This window comes from Homo sapiens, chromosome 7 (assembly GCF_000001405.40).
Source record: "Homo sapiens chromosome 7, GRCh38.p14 Primary Assembly".
Classification (NCBI taxonomy): Eukaryota; Metazoa; Chordata; class Mammalia; order Primates; family Hominidae; genus Homo; species Homo sapiens.
In genome coordinates this window covers 96,531,571-96,548,992 of record NC_000007.14, presented here as the reverse complement: position 1 = coordinate 96,548,992, position 17,422 = coordinate 96,531,571, and the positions used below count along the sequence as shown (strand labels likewise).

The 17,422-nt window shown below is 34.6% G+C and overlaps 1 protein-coding gene across 4 annotated transcripts in view; it reads left to right on the top strand.

Annotated features, from left to right (window-relative positions):
- SEM1 (SEM1 26S proteasome subunit) overlaps nt 1-17,422 on the top strand; it is a 228,221-nt gene that overhangs the window by 160,854 nt on the left and 49,945 nt on the right. The window lies entirely within an intron of this gene.

Here is a 17,422-nt window from a genome sequence, read left to right as displayed (position 1 = left end):
ACTATCAATACAGTACGAGCTCTGAACTCATGCGCTCCCTGTCTCAATTTCTGCCTCACCTCTTGCCCCAGGCACTGATGTGCTAAGGTTCTGAGTAAACCCCATGGGATTATGGAATTTGATCTGCTTCTGTTGCTGAGCACATATTTTATTTATAATGAGTCATTTGTTCACTTGTTCAGCTCAACAAATATTTGTTGATTGCTAAATATGCGGTAGGCACTCTTCTACTCGCTACAGATACTTTAATGGGCAAAACGGGGAAAGTACCTGTGCTCAAAGAGTTTATATTTTAAAAAGGGAGAAGAGGACAATTAAAAAAACTAAAAGAACCAGATAGTTCGGTTGATCACAAGTTCTCTAAATTCAGTAAAATTCAGTGATTTTCATTAACAATCACTAATAAGTAGCAGTCAGGTTCTCAGACATAGCTGTGGCTTTGGGAGCAAATAATACAGTTCTAAAGTAGGGTTTCTCAGAATTTAGTATACATATAGATTTCCTGGGGATTTTGTTAAAATACAGATTCTGATTCAGTAGGCCTGGGGTGGGGCCATAGATTCTGTTTTCTAACAGGCTTGCAGATGATGTGTTACTCCAAGTCTGGGGACCATACTTTGAGTAGCAATGTTCTAAAGATATTAATAGGGAATTATGCTTGTAAGGGAAAGCTCAAACTATTGGCTCCTCTTAGGAAAGATGGGCTCAGAATGGTCATTGCTCTAGGTCTCCTGGAGAATTCTGGATGTCAGAAGAGACTTGGGATTAAGAATCGAAAATCATGGAAACTCCTGTGAAAATAGGATGTTCTTTCAGAGAGCAGGAAAATCCAAAGCATATTATAACTAACTACAAACATTATGTTCAATTTTTTTATTGTTCATATACTGGCATTTGCTGCATTCAGGCTTCATTTGGAATCTTAAATATCATACCTCATGTTTGAAAGTGAACCAAACACAACAATCCTTTTTTTATTTTTTGCCCAGTGTACCTCCCCATCTCAACTTTGACCTAATACATCATTTTCAAATATAATTTTTATAAACAACAGGATTCCAGTGGTACAAATGGCCTGGTCACCAATCTTTACAGTACACGTCTTACAAGGGGCAACTTAATTTGTGACCCTCTTTTTAACTGAGCTGGGAGAAACAGCAGTAGAGTAGCAGTGAGTAAGCAAGAATCCTGTGTACAGGGAAGATCCGGGCCCAGTGCGGCTCATCTAGGTACCACTTTACAACTCCTATCATCACATCAGCAGAACCACAACAAGCTCTGTGCAAGCCAAAGGGGAAAGTGCCATTGTAAAACTGAAGACAGCTGCTTTCATAATAGAACTAATTGCACACTGCATCAGAGAACCAAATTAGTGGTGAAAACAGTTATAAAAAACGACAGACAGTGAAACATGACTCACTTAGGAACTGCTGCCAGTCAGGCACATTGTCATTGGACACTGTTCAAAAACCCACACCTGCATTTTTTGAATAGTAAACATATAAGATGTAATTACCAGGAAAACATATGCCACTTTTCAAATGTGACAACACTACATTTTTGCCTTTGGACCATGAATGGCATGGGACTAAACTGACCACAATACTCTATTCATTCCCAGGATTTTTCGCAGATAAAGCAAAGCATAATCAAAGCTTACAACCCCCTATTCATACTTAAGAGACTATCTTTAGCCTAAGAAATTTTAAAGGATCTGTTTTGCTGACAGAGATTCCTAAATGTCCTCTAGACCATCAATGAAGGAAACATCAACACTGGAGATATAAGAAGCATCAATTCTAAAATGCATATGCTTATATAGGCTCAGCTTAAAAATTCAAGCTGCAGTCGTTTGGGGTGTCTTCCCTGGTTTCCCTCTCAACTATACAGTAATTGCTGTCTCAATAACAAACAGGTGTTCAGAAAAGACTTCCACTGTTCTTGTAGTCTAAGCTCACATTTCTGCATTCTCAGCTGCAATCTGCATTAGAGAATTTGCAGGTTCCCCATGTGATACATATATGTCCTCATGCCAGCTACAACCGAAAGGATGATGCTTTTTCCATCATGATGGGTAGGTGGCTACCAGTGATGACAAACTCCTTGGCTTCTAATCAACTAGGTATAGAATAATGACCACTGAGAAAATGTGCTTTAGGCTGAAGCATGACAGTTTATCCTTAAACAACAGCTCACACCCTCAATGCTGTTTTTAAATATTTAAATTGTGTTGAACAGCATTCATTCACAAAGAAGGGTGAGTAGAATTTCATTCCAAAACAAATCACAGAATAAAACCTGTTCAATATCCTCATGAAGATCGTGCCGGTGGAATGTTCCAGTGTTGGCTAATGGAGCCCTGAAATTGCTGATGAATTGTATAACTATATAGTGACTAATCCTTCTTTCTCCTGCTCAATTAATTAGTCAAACCTAAACATAAATCCAGAAATACTTGTGAGAACTCTGCTGGTTTTTGTCAACACATAAGAGGTAGGTACTGAAAATGATCATCATTTTCTTCATGTGAAAGATGTGGAGGATTATATAAATATTTTTCAAAGATTGTATTACTTCACAAGTTCTAGAGATGCTTGTGTAAGCAAAAGAAGGTATGTGACAATTGGTTTGAGAGTATGAGGAGTGTGTATTCAGTTCAAGATGAGGAACTGTGTGTAGCATTTTTAAATTTTACTGTAATTCTTTACATATTTTCTTCCCCTCCGATGGTGAGTTCCTTAAAGACAGGAATCATCTTATTCATCTTTGAATCTCCAACATTTAGCAGTAGGTGTCCGATCAGTCTTGGCAGTTGTTGGGTTCTCTTTATCTGAATTTGCCTCATTGATCGCTTCAAGATTCAACATGATTGGCAGGTTTGGCTAAGAAGCAACCCCCTCTCCAAGAAATCAGAGCAAGATTCTTCTCAGAGAAACAGAGAAGCCTGCAGAGCAGCTGCTTAGCTTACAGGCTGATTCAAAGGATGGGGTACAAATATGCAAGCAAATTAGGTTCTTAGGTCTCATTCTTCAGCACCATTTCTGAAGGAAGGAGGAAGAGAATCTTTTAGGCTCTTCAAACTCCTCAGCTGATAGCATTGCTATATCAACTATGGGAATGTAAGCTAGACAATTTGGATCCAAATCTTTTTTCAGCTATATCTATTGTCCAGACTCAAAATGTTAAGCTGGAGGATTTACAGCACAGGATGGAAACATCCATCCTATTGTTTGCATTTATCTGTATGGGCCAAATATGGATAGTCTTTGGAATGTGTATTAAATAGTGAAAATTCAGGGCTCTATGCATAACGCTAAAATAACTGGGATATATGTTTAAGAAACCTAGATTTTTCTGAAAATGTTGAGTATAAAACACTAAGGAATAAACGTATTTGCCAAGCATTGAAAATCTTTCAGAAACCATGTTATCAGCATCTTGTTAGCAATACATAAAACTTAGTGCTAGCCAAGTGCTAACAAATAATCTCTATGCTGGCAGCACACTAATTCCTTGGTCTTAAATTTTTTTTTTCCCCTCATATGGAATGTTTTAGCAAGTTGTTGAGTTTTACTACTTCAGCTTTAGGAACTGCTTCTCTCAATTCCTTTGGCGTTCTGAGCAGCTTGTGATTTCCTTCATTTAATCTTTCTGTGTCCCCCTTAAAAACTATGAACCATTACTCCTCTTTAAATAAAATTAGTAAGAAAGTTAGAATACATGGGACAAAATTTTTGAAATATCAGTTCAAAGAAAGAATAGCACCCATACAACTCCACAACCCCAGGACCTGGGAGTCAGATTTTCTTTGGGATCATAACAAAAGCCCCAAATACCATGAGTGGAAGAACCTAAAAAGGGGTGCATCCACTTCCTGATTCTCCTCAAATCCAGAGGTTTCCATGGGGTCAGGGAAGGCTTTACAAGAGAATGAGCCAATGGTAAGTTATGAAGAAGTGGTTACGAGTAAGGGATCATAAATAAGCCTTTAAAAGACAGCTGACCCTTGAATAACATGGGTTTTGAAATGCATGGGTTTACTTAAACTTGAATTTTCTTCTGCTTATGCTGCCCCTGAGACAGCAAGACCAAGGTCTCCTCTTCCTCTTCAGCCTACTCAATGTGAAAACAATGAGAATGAAGACCTCTGTGATGATTCACTCCCACTTAATAAATAGTAAATATATTTTCTCGTCTTTGTGATTTTCTTAATATCATTTGTTCTCTAGCTTAGTTTATTGTAGGAATATAGTATATTATACATATATAAAATATGTGTTAATCAAGTGTTTATGTTATTGATAAGGCTTCTGATCAATAATAGGCTATTAGTAGTTAAGTTTTGGAAGGGTCAAAAGTTATGTGTGGATTTTCAACTGCAAGGTAGGTCAGTACTCCTAACCCCCATGTTGTTTAAGTGTCAATTGTATGCTAATATTCAGTAACATTAAACATTAAAGATAGTTTATAAGTAAGAGAATAATCAATACTATTTTTAAGGAATTTATTAAACATCTATAATGAGAAAACAAAGATATGTTATTTAAGCAATAGCTTATTTCTCTATAGCGCTTTATAATTATATTATGTTCATCTGATCCTTATAAAAATCCTATTTAAAAAAGCAGGGTAGATATTAACAAATTTTACAGAGGTAGAAACATAGTAGGTGCTCAGTGCTACAACTGATGTGTCATAATTCTCTGTTATTAGAGATGAAAACTTTAAAAAATTAAGTTTATTTGGAACTGAGATGTTTGTGTTAAACATATGCAAAATTTATAATACTAGAAATTATGAAATAAAGGACAGGCTAGCAAAAGTGGTTGTGGAATTGTGTTTTCCTAGAGGCCTTTAAGAACATTAAGAGATTTTCATTTCTCTGTGATGTTTTAACGCTGATGGGCTCATGAATCCACCTTAGCTAGGGATTGGTTCTCCATTGGCCCCTTCCAGAATTTAAACTAATTTGTAAAACTCAGGACTGGCTATATAATTTGTGGGACACTCCTGCTTAGAAATTAAGAATTTCAAGATGGTGATCATAGAGCACTAAGCCAAGCATGGGGCCCAGTGTGAATGCACAGGTTGTGCCAGCTGGCCCTGGTAGCTTCTTAGCTAAATGAAGGGTTATGATCACAAATGCAAATCCAAAGCAATGAAATGTTACTGCTACCACCAAGCATGTGGATTTTCTGATTCATTGATTATATTCTGTTTCCAATCACAAGTCTGCATGTATTTGGTAGTCAATGCAACAAGGTTACTAAGAAATTCTAAAAAACCGAACAGAAACCTGATGAATCCAGAATATGGGAGCTAGGAGTAAGTTATTTCCTTAGGTTAATGCTATGATACATAAACTACTATATTTAGAAAAAAGTGATAATAGAAAATTAAGAAAATTTTCAAATTCACATTGACAGAAAACAAGAAACAATGTAACTTGCACTTAAAGATTTATTGTTAAAAAATATATATTTATTTTATAGACATTTGAAACATTGGACTAAACAGTAAACAGTTTCATATATATATATTTCTTTATCTGTTAGCATGTGCTTGTGAATGTATAGTTGTCTCTCAGTATACATGGGGGATTGGTTCTAGGAACCCCTGCAAATACCAAAATTCAGAATATATAAGTGCCTTATATCAAACAGTGTAGTATTTGCATATAACCTATACATATCCTCCGGTATATGTTAAATCACCTTTAGATTACTTATACTCCCAATAAAATGTAAATGTAAATAGTTGTTATACTTTATTGTTTAGGGAATATGACACAAAAAGTCTGTACATGTCCACAATTTGTTTTTGCAAATATTTTTGATCTGACTGCTTGAATACACACATGTGGAACCCACAAATGTGGAGAGGTAACTGTACACACACAAAAAAATCCATTTCCCATCCTCCACTCCCACCTCTCCACCTCATCTTAACATTGTATTGTAAGCATTTTTATGTCATCATTGAAAACATAATTTTCAAAAGCTATATAACATCCCAACATAAAAATTAAAAATGCAATCCTTTCCATATTCTTGAAAATTTACATTGTAGGGTAATTTTGCCATTGTTTTATTTGTTTGTTTTGCTCTCATAACAGTGGTATACAGATCTTTGTCCATATGAATTGACCTAACTTAAATAAAGGATATTTGAGTTTATGAAGATCCTGATATATATATTATTCATATTTCCCCCAAAATTTGTGGCAATTTAAACTCTCACAAACCATATATGAATGTCCAGTTCCTACACCCTCGTTATCATTAAATATTACCATGTGTGTTTTCTTTAATTTTGCCAATTTCAAAGATAAAAATAATGCTATCTACTTATTTAACAAAGCTTTTTATTAGTACTGAGATTAAATTATATCATTTTTTATTTTCCATTTGCATGTTTTCTATTATGAATCATCAGTTCGTGTCCTTTTTCCTATTTTAAAATCAAGATAATAGGGTTTTCACCCTAAAGACTCTGCCAAAACTTGCAAGAGCTGATAAAAGACTTCAGTAAAGTTTCAGGATATAAAATCAATGTACAAAAGCCAGCAGCATTTCTATACACCAGTAATATTCAAGCCAAGACTCAAATCAAGAATACAATACCATTTACAACAGCCACACAAACAAAATACCTAAGAATATATGTAACCAATAAGGTGATATATCTCTACAAGGAGAACTACAAAACACTGCTAAATGGAATCATAGATGACACAAATAAATGGAAAAATATTCCATGCTCATAGACTGGAAGAATCAGTATTGTTAAAATGGCCATACTGCCAAAATCAATCCATAGGTTCAATGCTATTTTTATCAAACTACCAATGTAATTTTTCACATAATTAGAAAAAAAATTCTAAAATTCATATGGAACCCCCTCCCCCAAAAAAAGAGCCCAAATGGCTAAAGCAATCCTAAGCAAAAATAAAAAAGCCAGAGGTATCACGTTACTCAACTTCAAGCTACACTATAAGGCCACAGCAACCCAAAGAGCATGCTATTGGAAAAAAAAAAAAAAAAAAAAAGACACATAGGCCAATGAAACAGAATACAGAACCCGGAAATAAAGCCATACACCTACAGCCATTTGATTTTCAACAAAATTGGCAAAAATAAGCAATGGGGAAAGGACTCACTACTCAATAAATGGTGCTGGGACAGCTGGCTTAAGAATGAAACAGCACCTACCTTTTACCATATAAAAAAATTAGCTCAAGATAGATTGCAGGTTTAAATATAAAACTTCAAACGATAAGAATTCCAGATGAAAACCTAGAAAACATCATTCCGGACATGGGCCTTGGGAGAGAAATGTCTAAGACCTCAAAAGCAATTGCCACAAAACAAAATTGATAAGTGGGACCTAATTAAACTAAAGAGCTTCTGCACAACAAGAGAAACTGTCAACATAGTAAACAGACAACCTACAGAATGCAAGAAAATATTTGCAAATAATACATCCAACAAAGGTCTAATATTCGGAATCTATAAGGAACTTAAACAATTCAGCAAAAAAAAAAAAAAAACAAAAAAAAAAACCCATTAAAAAGTGGGAAAAGACATGATCAGACACTTCTCAAAAGGAGACATACAAGCAGCAAACAAATATATAAAAAACGTTCAGCATCACTAACCATCAGAGGAAGTAAATAAAAACCACTAAGAGACATCACTGCACACCAGTCAGAATGACAATTACTAAAAAGTCCAAGAACAGCAGATGCTGGCGAGGCTGAAGAGAAAATGAAATGCTTATATACTATTGGTGGAAATATAAATTAGTTCAGCCACTGTGGAAAGCAGTTTAGAGATTTCTTTCTCAAAGTACGTAAAGCAGAACTACCGTTCAACCCAGCAATCTCATTACTGAATATGTACCCAAAGGAAAATAAATCATTCCACCAAAAAGACCCAGGCACTCACATATTCATCACAGCACTATTCACAGATAATAGCAGATATATGGAATCAATCTAGGGGCCCATCAATGGTGGATTAAAGAAAATGTGGTCCATATATGCTGTGGAATACTACACAGCTATAAGAAAGAATGAAATCATGTCCTTTGCAGCAACCAGGATGCACCTGGAGGCCATTATCCTAAGTAAATTAACACAGGAACAGAAAACCAAATACCGTGTTTTCTCACTTATAAGTGGGAGCTAAACATTGGGTACTCATGGAATAAAGATGGCAATAATAGACACTGGAAACTACTGGGGGGTTGAAAACCTACTATGTTCACTACCTGTGCTTCAGGATCATCCGTACCTCAAACCTCAGCATCACACAATATGTCCATGTAACAAACGTGCAAATGTTCCCCCTGAATCTGAAATAGAAGTTGAAATTATTTTTAAAAAGTAACAGTGTTTTCTTATTGATTTACAAAGGTATCTTTATAGGTGAAGTTTATCTATCATTATCTGTCACCTTGGTTATAAATATTTGTGTAAATTTGAAGTTTGCTTTTTGATCATATTTGAGGTTCAAGAATGTTTCATTTTTATAGGCATAATATTAATTATTTTCCCCTATTAATTTTATTAACAGAATGCCATTTTATATACTGAGATGAGTTGAATATTTATCTATTTTAATTTGTTTGATTTTAAAATACTTAATCATTTAAATCATATGAAATTTATTTTTGTGTATTGTGTGAACCCGACATTGTCTTGATTTCTTTTCCCTAAATATCCAATTTTCTCAACACTCAAATGCAGCCTAATTTTATTAATTGGTGATGTTTTCTTTGTCATAAAGTTTTAAAAAATAAATATTAGGTTGTTTTCAGAGTTTTGAGTTTCATTCAGTTGATCTGCCAATTGATTCTCTGTGCTAGTGCTACTGTTTGTATTATCAGTTTCACAATGTTAAGAATTCTTTTTCAATTTTTTATATAAGTTGTAAATTTATCGTTTGTGATGATTTTTGAATTATTTTTATAACTTATTTTTATAATTCTTATTATATTTATAACCTATTTATATATTATAATTTATTAGGTTGATGCAAAAGTAATTGCAGGTTTTGCTATTACTTTTATATGGCAAAAACCATAAATACTTTTGCACCAGCCTAATATTATAAAATTATTTTAATAAAACCTTAATGTATCAAGATTACATTAAGCCCATGAATTCATTTAGGAGAGCTGTCTTAACATTTCATTTATTCAACAAGTATTTATTGAGCACATATCATGAAACAGGCCCTGGTCTGAGTGCTGAGGTTGCAGCAATGAATCCAAAGTTTTTGCCCCAGGAGGCTTATTTCTGGCTTATCCAAGGATATTGCATCCTTTTCAACACATTATTTTAAATCATATTTTATATATTTTAGTAAGGCTTTTTTTCAATGCGATAACTTCATGCATATGGATCCCATCATTTCCAGTTGTAAATAGAATTTCTAATTCTTCTAGAATTTTATACTGTGTTTGTTTTTAGCTTACCATTATATTTTAAATGGCTCAGTGCCATATTGTAGGAGCAACACAATAACAAAATCTTGTTGAGTGGATAAATTTATAATTTCATTAAACATGTGAATGGAATTTTTTTCTTCAACTTGTTATTTCTGGTATATATTATATTAGTTATCTATTGCTACATACCAAATTACTCCCAATAGCAGCTCAAAACAACATGTAAGTATTATTTCACAGTTTTTGTGGTTCAGGAATTGGCCATTGCTTAGCCAGATTCTCTGCTTCATGCTCTTTCAAAAATCTATAATCAAGGTGTTAGCCCAGAGTCTGTGGTCTTAACTGAAGGTTCAACTGGGGAAGGATCCACTTGCAAGCTCATCCATACAGTTGCTGGCAGGATTCAGTTCCTTGAGGGCTGATGGCTAGAGGTCATTCTCAGTATCTTGACAGATTGGAACCTTGAACATGCTAGCTTGTTTTACCAAAGAAAACAAAAGGAAGTGTCTGCTAACATGAAGGAAACCACAGTCTTATGTAGCAGTGTTAAGGGGATCATGGATTTTATTTATAGCAACCATAGCAGGTTCTCACATTGAAAATCTGAGGAAGATCCTTCATGGTTCTGACTAGAAAAGAGGAGTAATCATTGTGCAATATGACCAGCTTCTTAGCAAAGAACTACTGTCCAGGGGCAAAGACATTACCGCAGCTCTATCTCAGCCGAGGAAAGGGCATTTCTCCCATTCCAGTCTCCTCTAACCTTTCTGTCTCACCAAAAGGGGGAAGTGAGAGCAGAGGGTAGAGCTATATTTTTCTGAAGTTCACAACTCAGAGACACATGCCTAAACAATGGGAGTATATTGTAAGATGTTACAATGCTTCCCCTCCTCCATACTTCACCACCACATTAACAGGGCTTCAGTATAATAGTAGATCATAGCTGAAAGAGCTGCAAGACATAGATGCTCTTTGAAGAGTAGAACTTAGGGAAGCCCCAAGTCAAATGGGGAAAAAACAAAGACATTAGAGGAAGGTGAGTCCTTTTGCACCTATAGCTACAGAAAATTTTAAACACAATCCAACTTTTAGCCAGATTAGCATAAATCCTCACACTGAAGGCCTATTTGCCTCCTATTACCCAACACAATATGTCTAGTTTTCAGCAAAAATTTACAAAGCATATAAAAGGCAAACATAGTCTGAAGAGACAAAACAACTATCTGAATTAGGCTCAGACATGGCATAGCTTTTGGAATTAGGGTTGGGAATTTAAATTCAGATGGAATTGAAAATAGCTATGCTTAATATGTTAAAGACTCTAATAGAAAAAGTAAACAACACTCAAGAATATTTGGGTAATGTAAGCAGAGAGACAGAAAGTCTAATAAATAATCTAGAGAAATAAAAGAAAACACTATTAAAGAAATTATAAGTGTCTCTGATGGGCTTATAAGTACACTCAAAACAACCAAAGAAAGAGTCAGTGAGCCTGAAGAAAATAAGTCAACAGAAACATTCTAAACTGAAGTACAAAAAGAAACAAGAATTAAAGTTAAAAAAAGAAAACAAACAGAATAGAACCCCAAAGAAATGTGGGAAAATTTCAAAAGGCATAATATCTCCATAATTGGAATACCAGAAGCAGAAGAAATTGAGGACAGGGCAGAAAAATTATCTGAAGTAATAATGGCTGCAAATTTTCCAAAATTAATGAGACACCAAACCACAGATCCAGGAAGCTCAGAGAACACCAACCAGGATAAATACACAAAACAAACCAAAAAACCCAGAAAAACAAAGAAACAAAAAATCTAGGCATATCATAATCAACCTGCAGCAAATCAAGCACAAAGAAAAAATCTTGAAAGAAGCCAAAGTGGGGCAAGGAAGACACTGGACTATAGAGGAATAAGGACAAGAATTACTGTACACTTCCCATTGAAAACCATGCAAGTAAAAACAGAGTGGAAGTAAATATTTAAAGTACTGAAAGAAAAAAAAATCTAGAATTCCATGTCCAGCAAAATTATCTTTTAAAAGTGAGGGAGAAATACTTTCTCAGGTAAGCAAAAACTGAGGTAATTAATCACCAGTAGACATACCCTGAAAAAAATGTTAAGATTTCTTCAGGAAGAAAGAAGTTAGAAAGTTGACTCTATATTCAGAAAACAGAAGTGTCAAAGTAAAAATAAATGAAAGTAAAATCATTTACTTCTCTTATTTGTAATTGATCTAAAAAAAGTGTTCAAAGCAACAATGCTAACAATGCATTCGGTGATTATAACATATAGATAAGAGAAGTGAATGACAACAATGTCACAAGGGGCCATAGAGAGAAATTGAGAATAGTCTTTATGAGACACCTATACTAATCATTAGTGGTGGTGTGATTTGAAAGTAAGTAGACTTATATTAGTTAAAAATGTTTATTATAAATTCTAGGGCAACTACTAACATTTTAAGTAAAATTGATACAATAATATTTGAAACAGAATGGAATTACATAAAATTCTAAGTTAAAACCAAGGAAAGCAGTAAAAGAGGGAGAATAAACCAAAGGAGATGAAATAAATAGGAAAGTCTCTAGTATAGTAGATATTAATCCAACTGTACCAATAGTTACTTTAAATGTGACTGGTTTAAATACACTTAGTAAAAACAGAGATTGTTAAGAGTGTTTGAAAAATAGGACTCAGCTATGTTGTCTATGAGAAATACACTTTAAATATAAAGTAAAAAATAGGTTAAAAATATAGAGATGGAGAAAGATATGCCACATTTAACTGATCAGAAGAAAGCTGAAGTAGTTATATTAATTTCAGACAAAGCTGACTTCAGAACAAAGAAGATCATGAGGGACAAAGAGGAGCATTACATCATGAAAAATTATTCAGTTCTCTAAGAAGATATAACAATCCTTGATGTGTATGTGCCTAACAAAAGAACATCAAAGTACATGAGGCAAAACTAATAGAAGTGCAAGGAGAAATAGACAAATCCACTATTGTATTTGGAGACCTCACTACTCCTCTGTTAGTAATTGACAGGTCAAACAGGAAGAAAATCAGTCTTGATCATGTGACCTGACCAGCATGATCCATCAACTTGATTTCATTGATATCTATAGAATGCTCCTACCAATAACAGCAGAATACACATTCTTCTCAAGGTCACAAGAAACATTCACCAATAAATGCCACATTTTGGGCCACAGAGAACTTAAAAGTATAGAAATCATAAAAAGTATGTTCTCAAATCACAATAGAATAAAACCAGAAACCGGTAACAGAAAGATAGCTGGAAAACATTCCCCAAGTATTTAGAAATTAAGTCACACACTTCTAAATAATACATGGGTCAAGGAAGTCTCAAGAGGAATTTTAAAACATTTTGAATTAAATGAATATAAAATAACAGATGCTGATGAGGTTGCAGAGAAAAGGGAATGCTTATACACTGTTGGTGGGAGTGTAAATTATTTCAACCATTGTGGAAAGCAGTGTGGTTATTCCTCAAAGAACTAAAAACAGAACTACCATCTGACCCGGAAATCCCACTCCCGGATATGTACCCAAATGAATATAAATTATTCTACCATAAAGACACATGTGCTTGTATGTTCATTGCAGCACTATTCACAATAGCAAAGAAATGGAATCAACCTAAATGCCCATCAGTGGTAGACTGAATAAAGAAAATGTGGTACATGTATACCATGGAATACTAGACAGCCGTAACAAAGTAAAAAATCATGTCCTTTACAGCAACACGGATGTAGTTGGAAGCCATTATCCTAAGTGAATTAAAACAGGAACAGAAAACCGAATACCACATGTTATCACTAATGAGAGGGAGCTAAATAAGGAGAACACATGGACAGAAAGAGGCGAACAACAGATACTGGGGAGGAAGGAAGGGGAGAGGAGAGAGAGATTCAGAGAAAAGAAACTGTTGGGCACTATGCTTAGTGCCTGGGTGATGAAAGAATCTGTACGTGAAATTTCCAAGTTGTGAGTTTGCCTATATAACAAACCTGCACATGTATCCCTGAACCTAAAATGAAAGTTAAAATATTTAATAAAAAAGAAAATTAAAATATGACATCAAAATTTGTAGGATGCAGTAAAAACAGTGCTTACAGGACATTTTATAGCATTAAATACATATATTCGAAAAGAAAAAAACACAAAGTTAACCATATGTCTTTTCCTTAAGGATTTTTGCTTGTAAGAATGATTATATTCAACATACTGAAAAATTTAGTGGTCTAGGACACTAGACCATTGTAAAACAGGTGTTCTTAGTTTATTTAATGCAAAATTTTACAAATTTAACTTTACAGAGCTTGCTTATTAAGGTACACAAAATTTTAGAAATTTAGTCTATTTTTTGCCATACATGCAAATACAAAACATTTGTGTGCAGATGGCTACCTTGAAGTAATGTCTAACTTATGAGTTAGACAACAGATAATTTTGCTATGCAAACCATGGCATGAAATAGAACAGAAGGCCTCAAGTTTTTGGTCTTAGGACTCCTTTGCTCTCTTACAAATTATTAATAACTCCAAAGAACTCTCATTTATATGGGTTATATTTATTGGTATCTATTATATTAGAAATTAAAACAGAAATGTTAAAAAGAATTTTTTCTTAAAAAGCAGTAAGTATACATGTTAACATATTTTAACAAAAAGTAACAATATTTTCAAAAACAAACATTTAGTGAGAAGAGCAATATTTTATTTTTGTAAATCTCTTCAATGTCTGGCTTAATACAAGGTAAGTGGATTCTCACATTTGCTTCTGCATTCCATCTATTGCGATACGTTGTTTTGATTGAAGTATGTGAAGAAGATCCAGCCTCTCACATTGAGAAAGAGTATTTAGTAACCTTTGTAGATAATTGTTATTATTCTGTGATACTACACCAAAACTCCACAAGCAGCAGTTTCTTAAAAGATAATTGCAATGCAGAATCTGAAACTATTACCAATGAAATTTTCCTGTTCGTCATACCATTACCTTAAAATCAACTATTCTGTTTTGCACTTCGAATGGACCTTTTACCCATGTCTGATTTTGTAACATCATGCATTGGTCATTTGGAAAATGTTGCTTCACTGAGTTAAATAGATTTTCCAAATGTTGACACATTTCATAAGGCAGTATCAACAGATCACATTCATTACTATCACACCAGTCTTATCAGAAAAGCCTTAAAGTATCGGGGAAGCTGTCAAGCTCACAGTGGCAGTTACAAATTTTCCAAAATTCTAAATTTTGTTTCAAAGCTGAACTTTTTTTTGTTGGCAACAAATACTCTCAGTTGTTTTCCCTGAAGTGACAAGTTCACTTTGTTCATTTTTGACAAAATGTCTGCCAAACACCTAAGTATAAATAACCTTAGTTTGTCAGTCATTCTTTCAAGTAAAATGGTGTTCCATGAAAAGAAAACCCAGCTAGTTCAGCTCTCAACTCAGATATCTGCATAGATGTATATTGTACTTGAGTAAGCAGCAAAGTGCTTTACGTATACCTCTCATTTTGTTGCACTCAGGGGTCGGGATTTAATACAATTAATATTATTTTACTGCTTCACCAGAACATTATTAAGTTACACTGGATTTTTTTTTCCTGTGAGTACACAGTGATGACAAATAGGACTACTACACAGTTTGGTGCCACTGCCTTGATTCAAACTAAGGTACTGGCACTTGTAGCTATAACTGCTTTTGAACCATCAGTTCAAATGATGATGCAATGAAAAAGGCAGATAATACCTTAGTATTTTTATGAAAATACTTTTGAACCCATGGCCTCTTTGAAGTATCTTAGGGACCCCCCAGAGGACTCCAGGGACTTTGAAAATTGCCCTGTAGGGACACCAAAGGAGGGAATAACAAAGGCTTTGTCAGCGATATCCAAATAATTCAGCGCCTGCCGTTTCTGCTACCTTCACAAGCTTATGATGGATTTCTGAGGTAGCATCTGCAGCTGTGGTAGAATGGAGAAGCTAAGAAAAAAGTAACCATAATACACAAATATCAGACAGTCTAATTTAATTATAAAGAAGTGAAATAAATTAAACAGCCTAGAGATTCAGGGTCACTATACAGAAGAGCAATTTTGCGGGTGACTCTTCTAGAAGGTAGTAGCAGGTAATGATCATCTTTGATGACTCTAGATTGATGGAGACGGTGGGAGGAGAAAATTGCTTTTTAGGGGGAATGTGGGAAGGGTCAACTAGCAATGGAGCCAAGGTCAGCATGGGTTTTGCCATTCCTGAATACACACAAAGCTAGTGGTTAATGACATTCTGGGGACAGTTTCATTTTGATGAAAAAGGAGGAGAGCACATCTGAGCTGACGTGACAGTGTTAAGAATGTGGCTAGTTCAGATATGTGTGGCATTGGGGTTCAGCTTGTTTTGTGCTTACAGTCATATTGCTGGGTGTATAAGAGATGGAACTTCCTCCCAGAAAGTGGTGAGTTAAAGGCAAGTGAAAATATTGTGCATTTCTGGATGTTTAAGGAGTCCATTAGAACAAGTACTGATACCAATCTGTAGCGGAAGTAAAAGTCTTTTCTTATTAGCAAGTGCAGTTCAGGAGATATTAACCAATACCACAGAGTCCTCCAGCCAGCTTTGATCCTCCTGAATTTTGTGGAGAAAAACATCTTGTAGGGTTTGAAGTCAAAGCAGAAGTGGCTGTAAACAAAATTAAAAAGTCGGGTTTTCAGGCTGTATCTGTAATAAGCTTTCAGCTGAAATGAAATGTAATTAGCAAGTACGATAATGCATTTTGCTTCATTTAGCTCTTCAGTGGGTTTATAAACAAATTCTGTCAGTTAACTCATAAAGCAGATGCATCCACTACACCCTGGCTAAGCATGTTATGGAAGACAGCCTCATGCAGGTGCAAGAACTACAACAGGAAGATCTGTTTATCAATTTACCAGTCAGGAATGTTGGCAACAATGAACATGCACCATTTTTAAATGTTCCCCAATGAAGAAGGTTAAGAAATATTATATCTGAGGGCCTATGAAAGAAAAGCTGAGCAGCAGCACTCAAATTCTCATAGTAAACATTGTTTATTTTGTAATGCTCCATGAAGACAACCTCAAGTGTCATCTGGTGTCCAAGACAACACTGAATGCTTATTACTCTTACCAAAATATTAGCAGTGACTGTGAGGTGGAATCAGAGGGTTTTTTTTTCAAACTTTTCTGTGTCTTTTTATATTGCCTTGGCAATGTAAAAAATTAATTTGGGAAAAGTGAATAAAAACAGAACTTTGGGCTCATCCCAGAAAATATTTTTTAAATACTAATGATTTTTTTAAAACATGTTTTAGCTTGTTTGAATTTAGGAAAATGAAAGCCTGTATTCTGCCACATACTGCCAGACCTTAAAGATATATTAATACAGCCCCTATATCAAAGGGCCCGGAACCTAATGGGTGAGGCAAACAGAGGGTAGATCACTTACAATGTCCCAGGGAGGACTGAGCAGAGGCCATGGGATCTCAAGAAAAGGAAGACTAACTTTCCAGAAGAATTGAGGAAGTCTTCACAGAGCAGATGAAGACATTTCAATTAGATCTGTAAAAATACTTAATAGGGATAAAAATGAAAGTGATAAAAATATTGGGAACTAAATAGTACCTTGATTCTTACAGAGAAGGTGTTTAGTATTGCCATTCATAATATTTTCTAGAAATGCACATAGAAATTCTGAAATGTCTAGATTCTTGCCATATTAACTACCAGTAATAATAGGGTAAATGTTAAAATTTCTTTAACACTGAGCATCTACATGTTCTGATCCTTGTCATGTATTCTTATTTTAACTCTTAGGAAGTTTTCTTTCAAAGATTGATAGACATATGAATAATTATTGTGCATTTCCTTTTTTTTTTTTTTTTCCACACAGAGTCTCACTGTCGCCCAGGCTGCAGTGC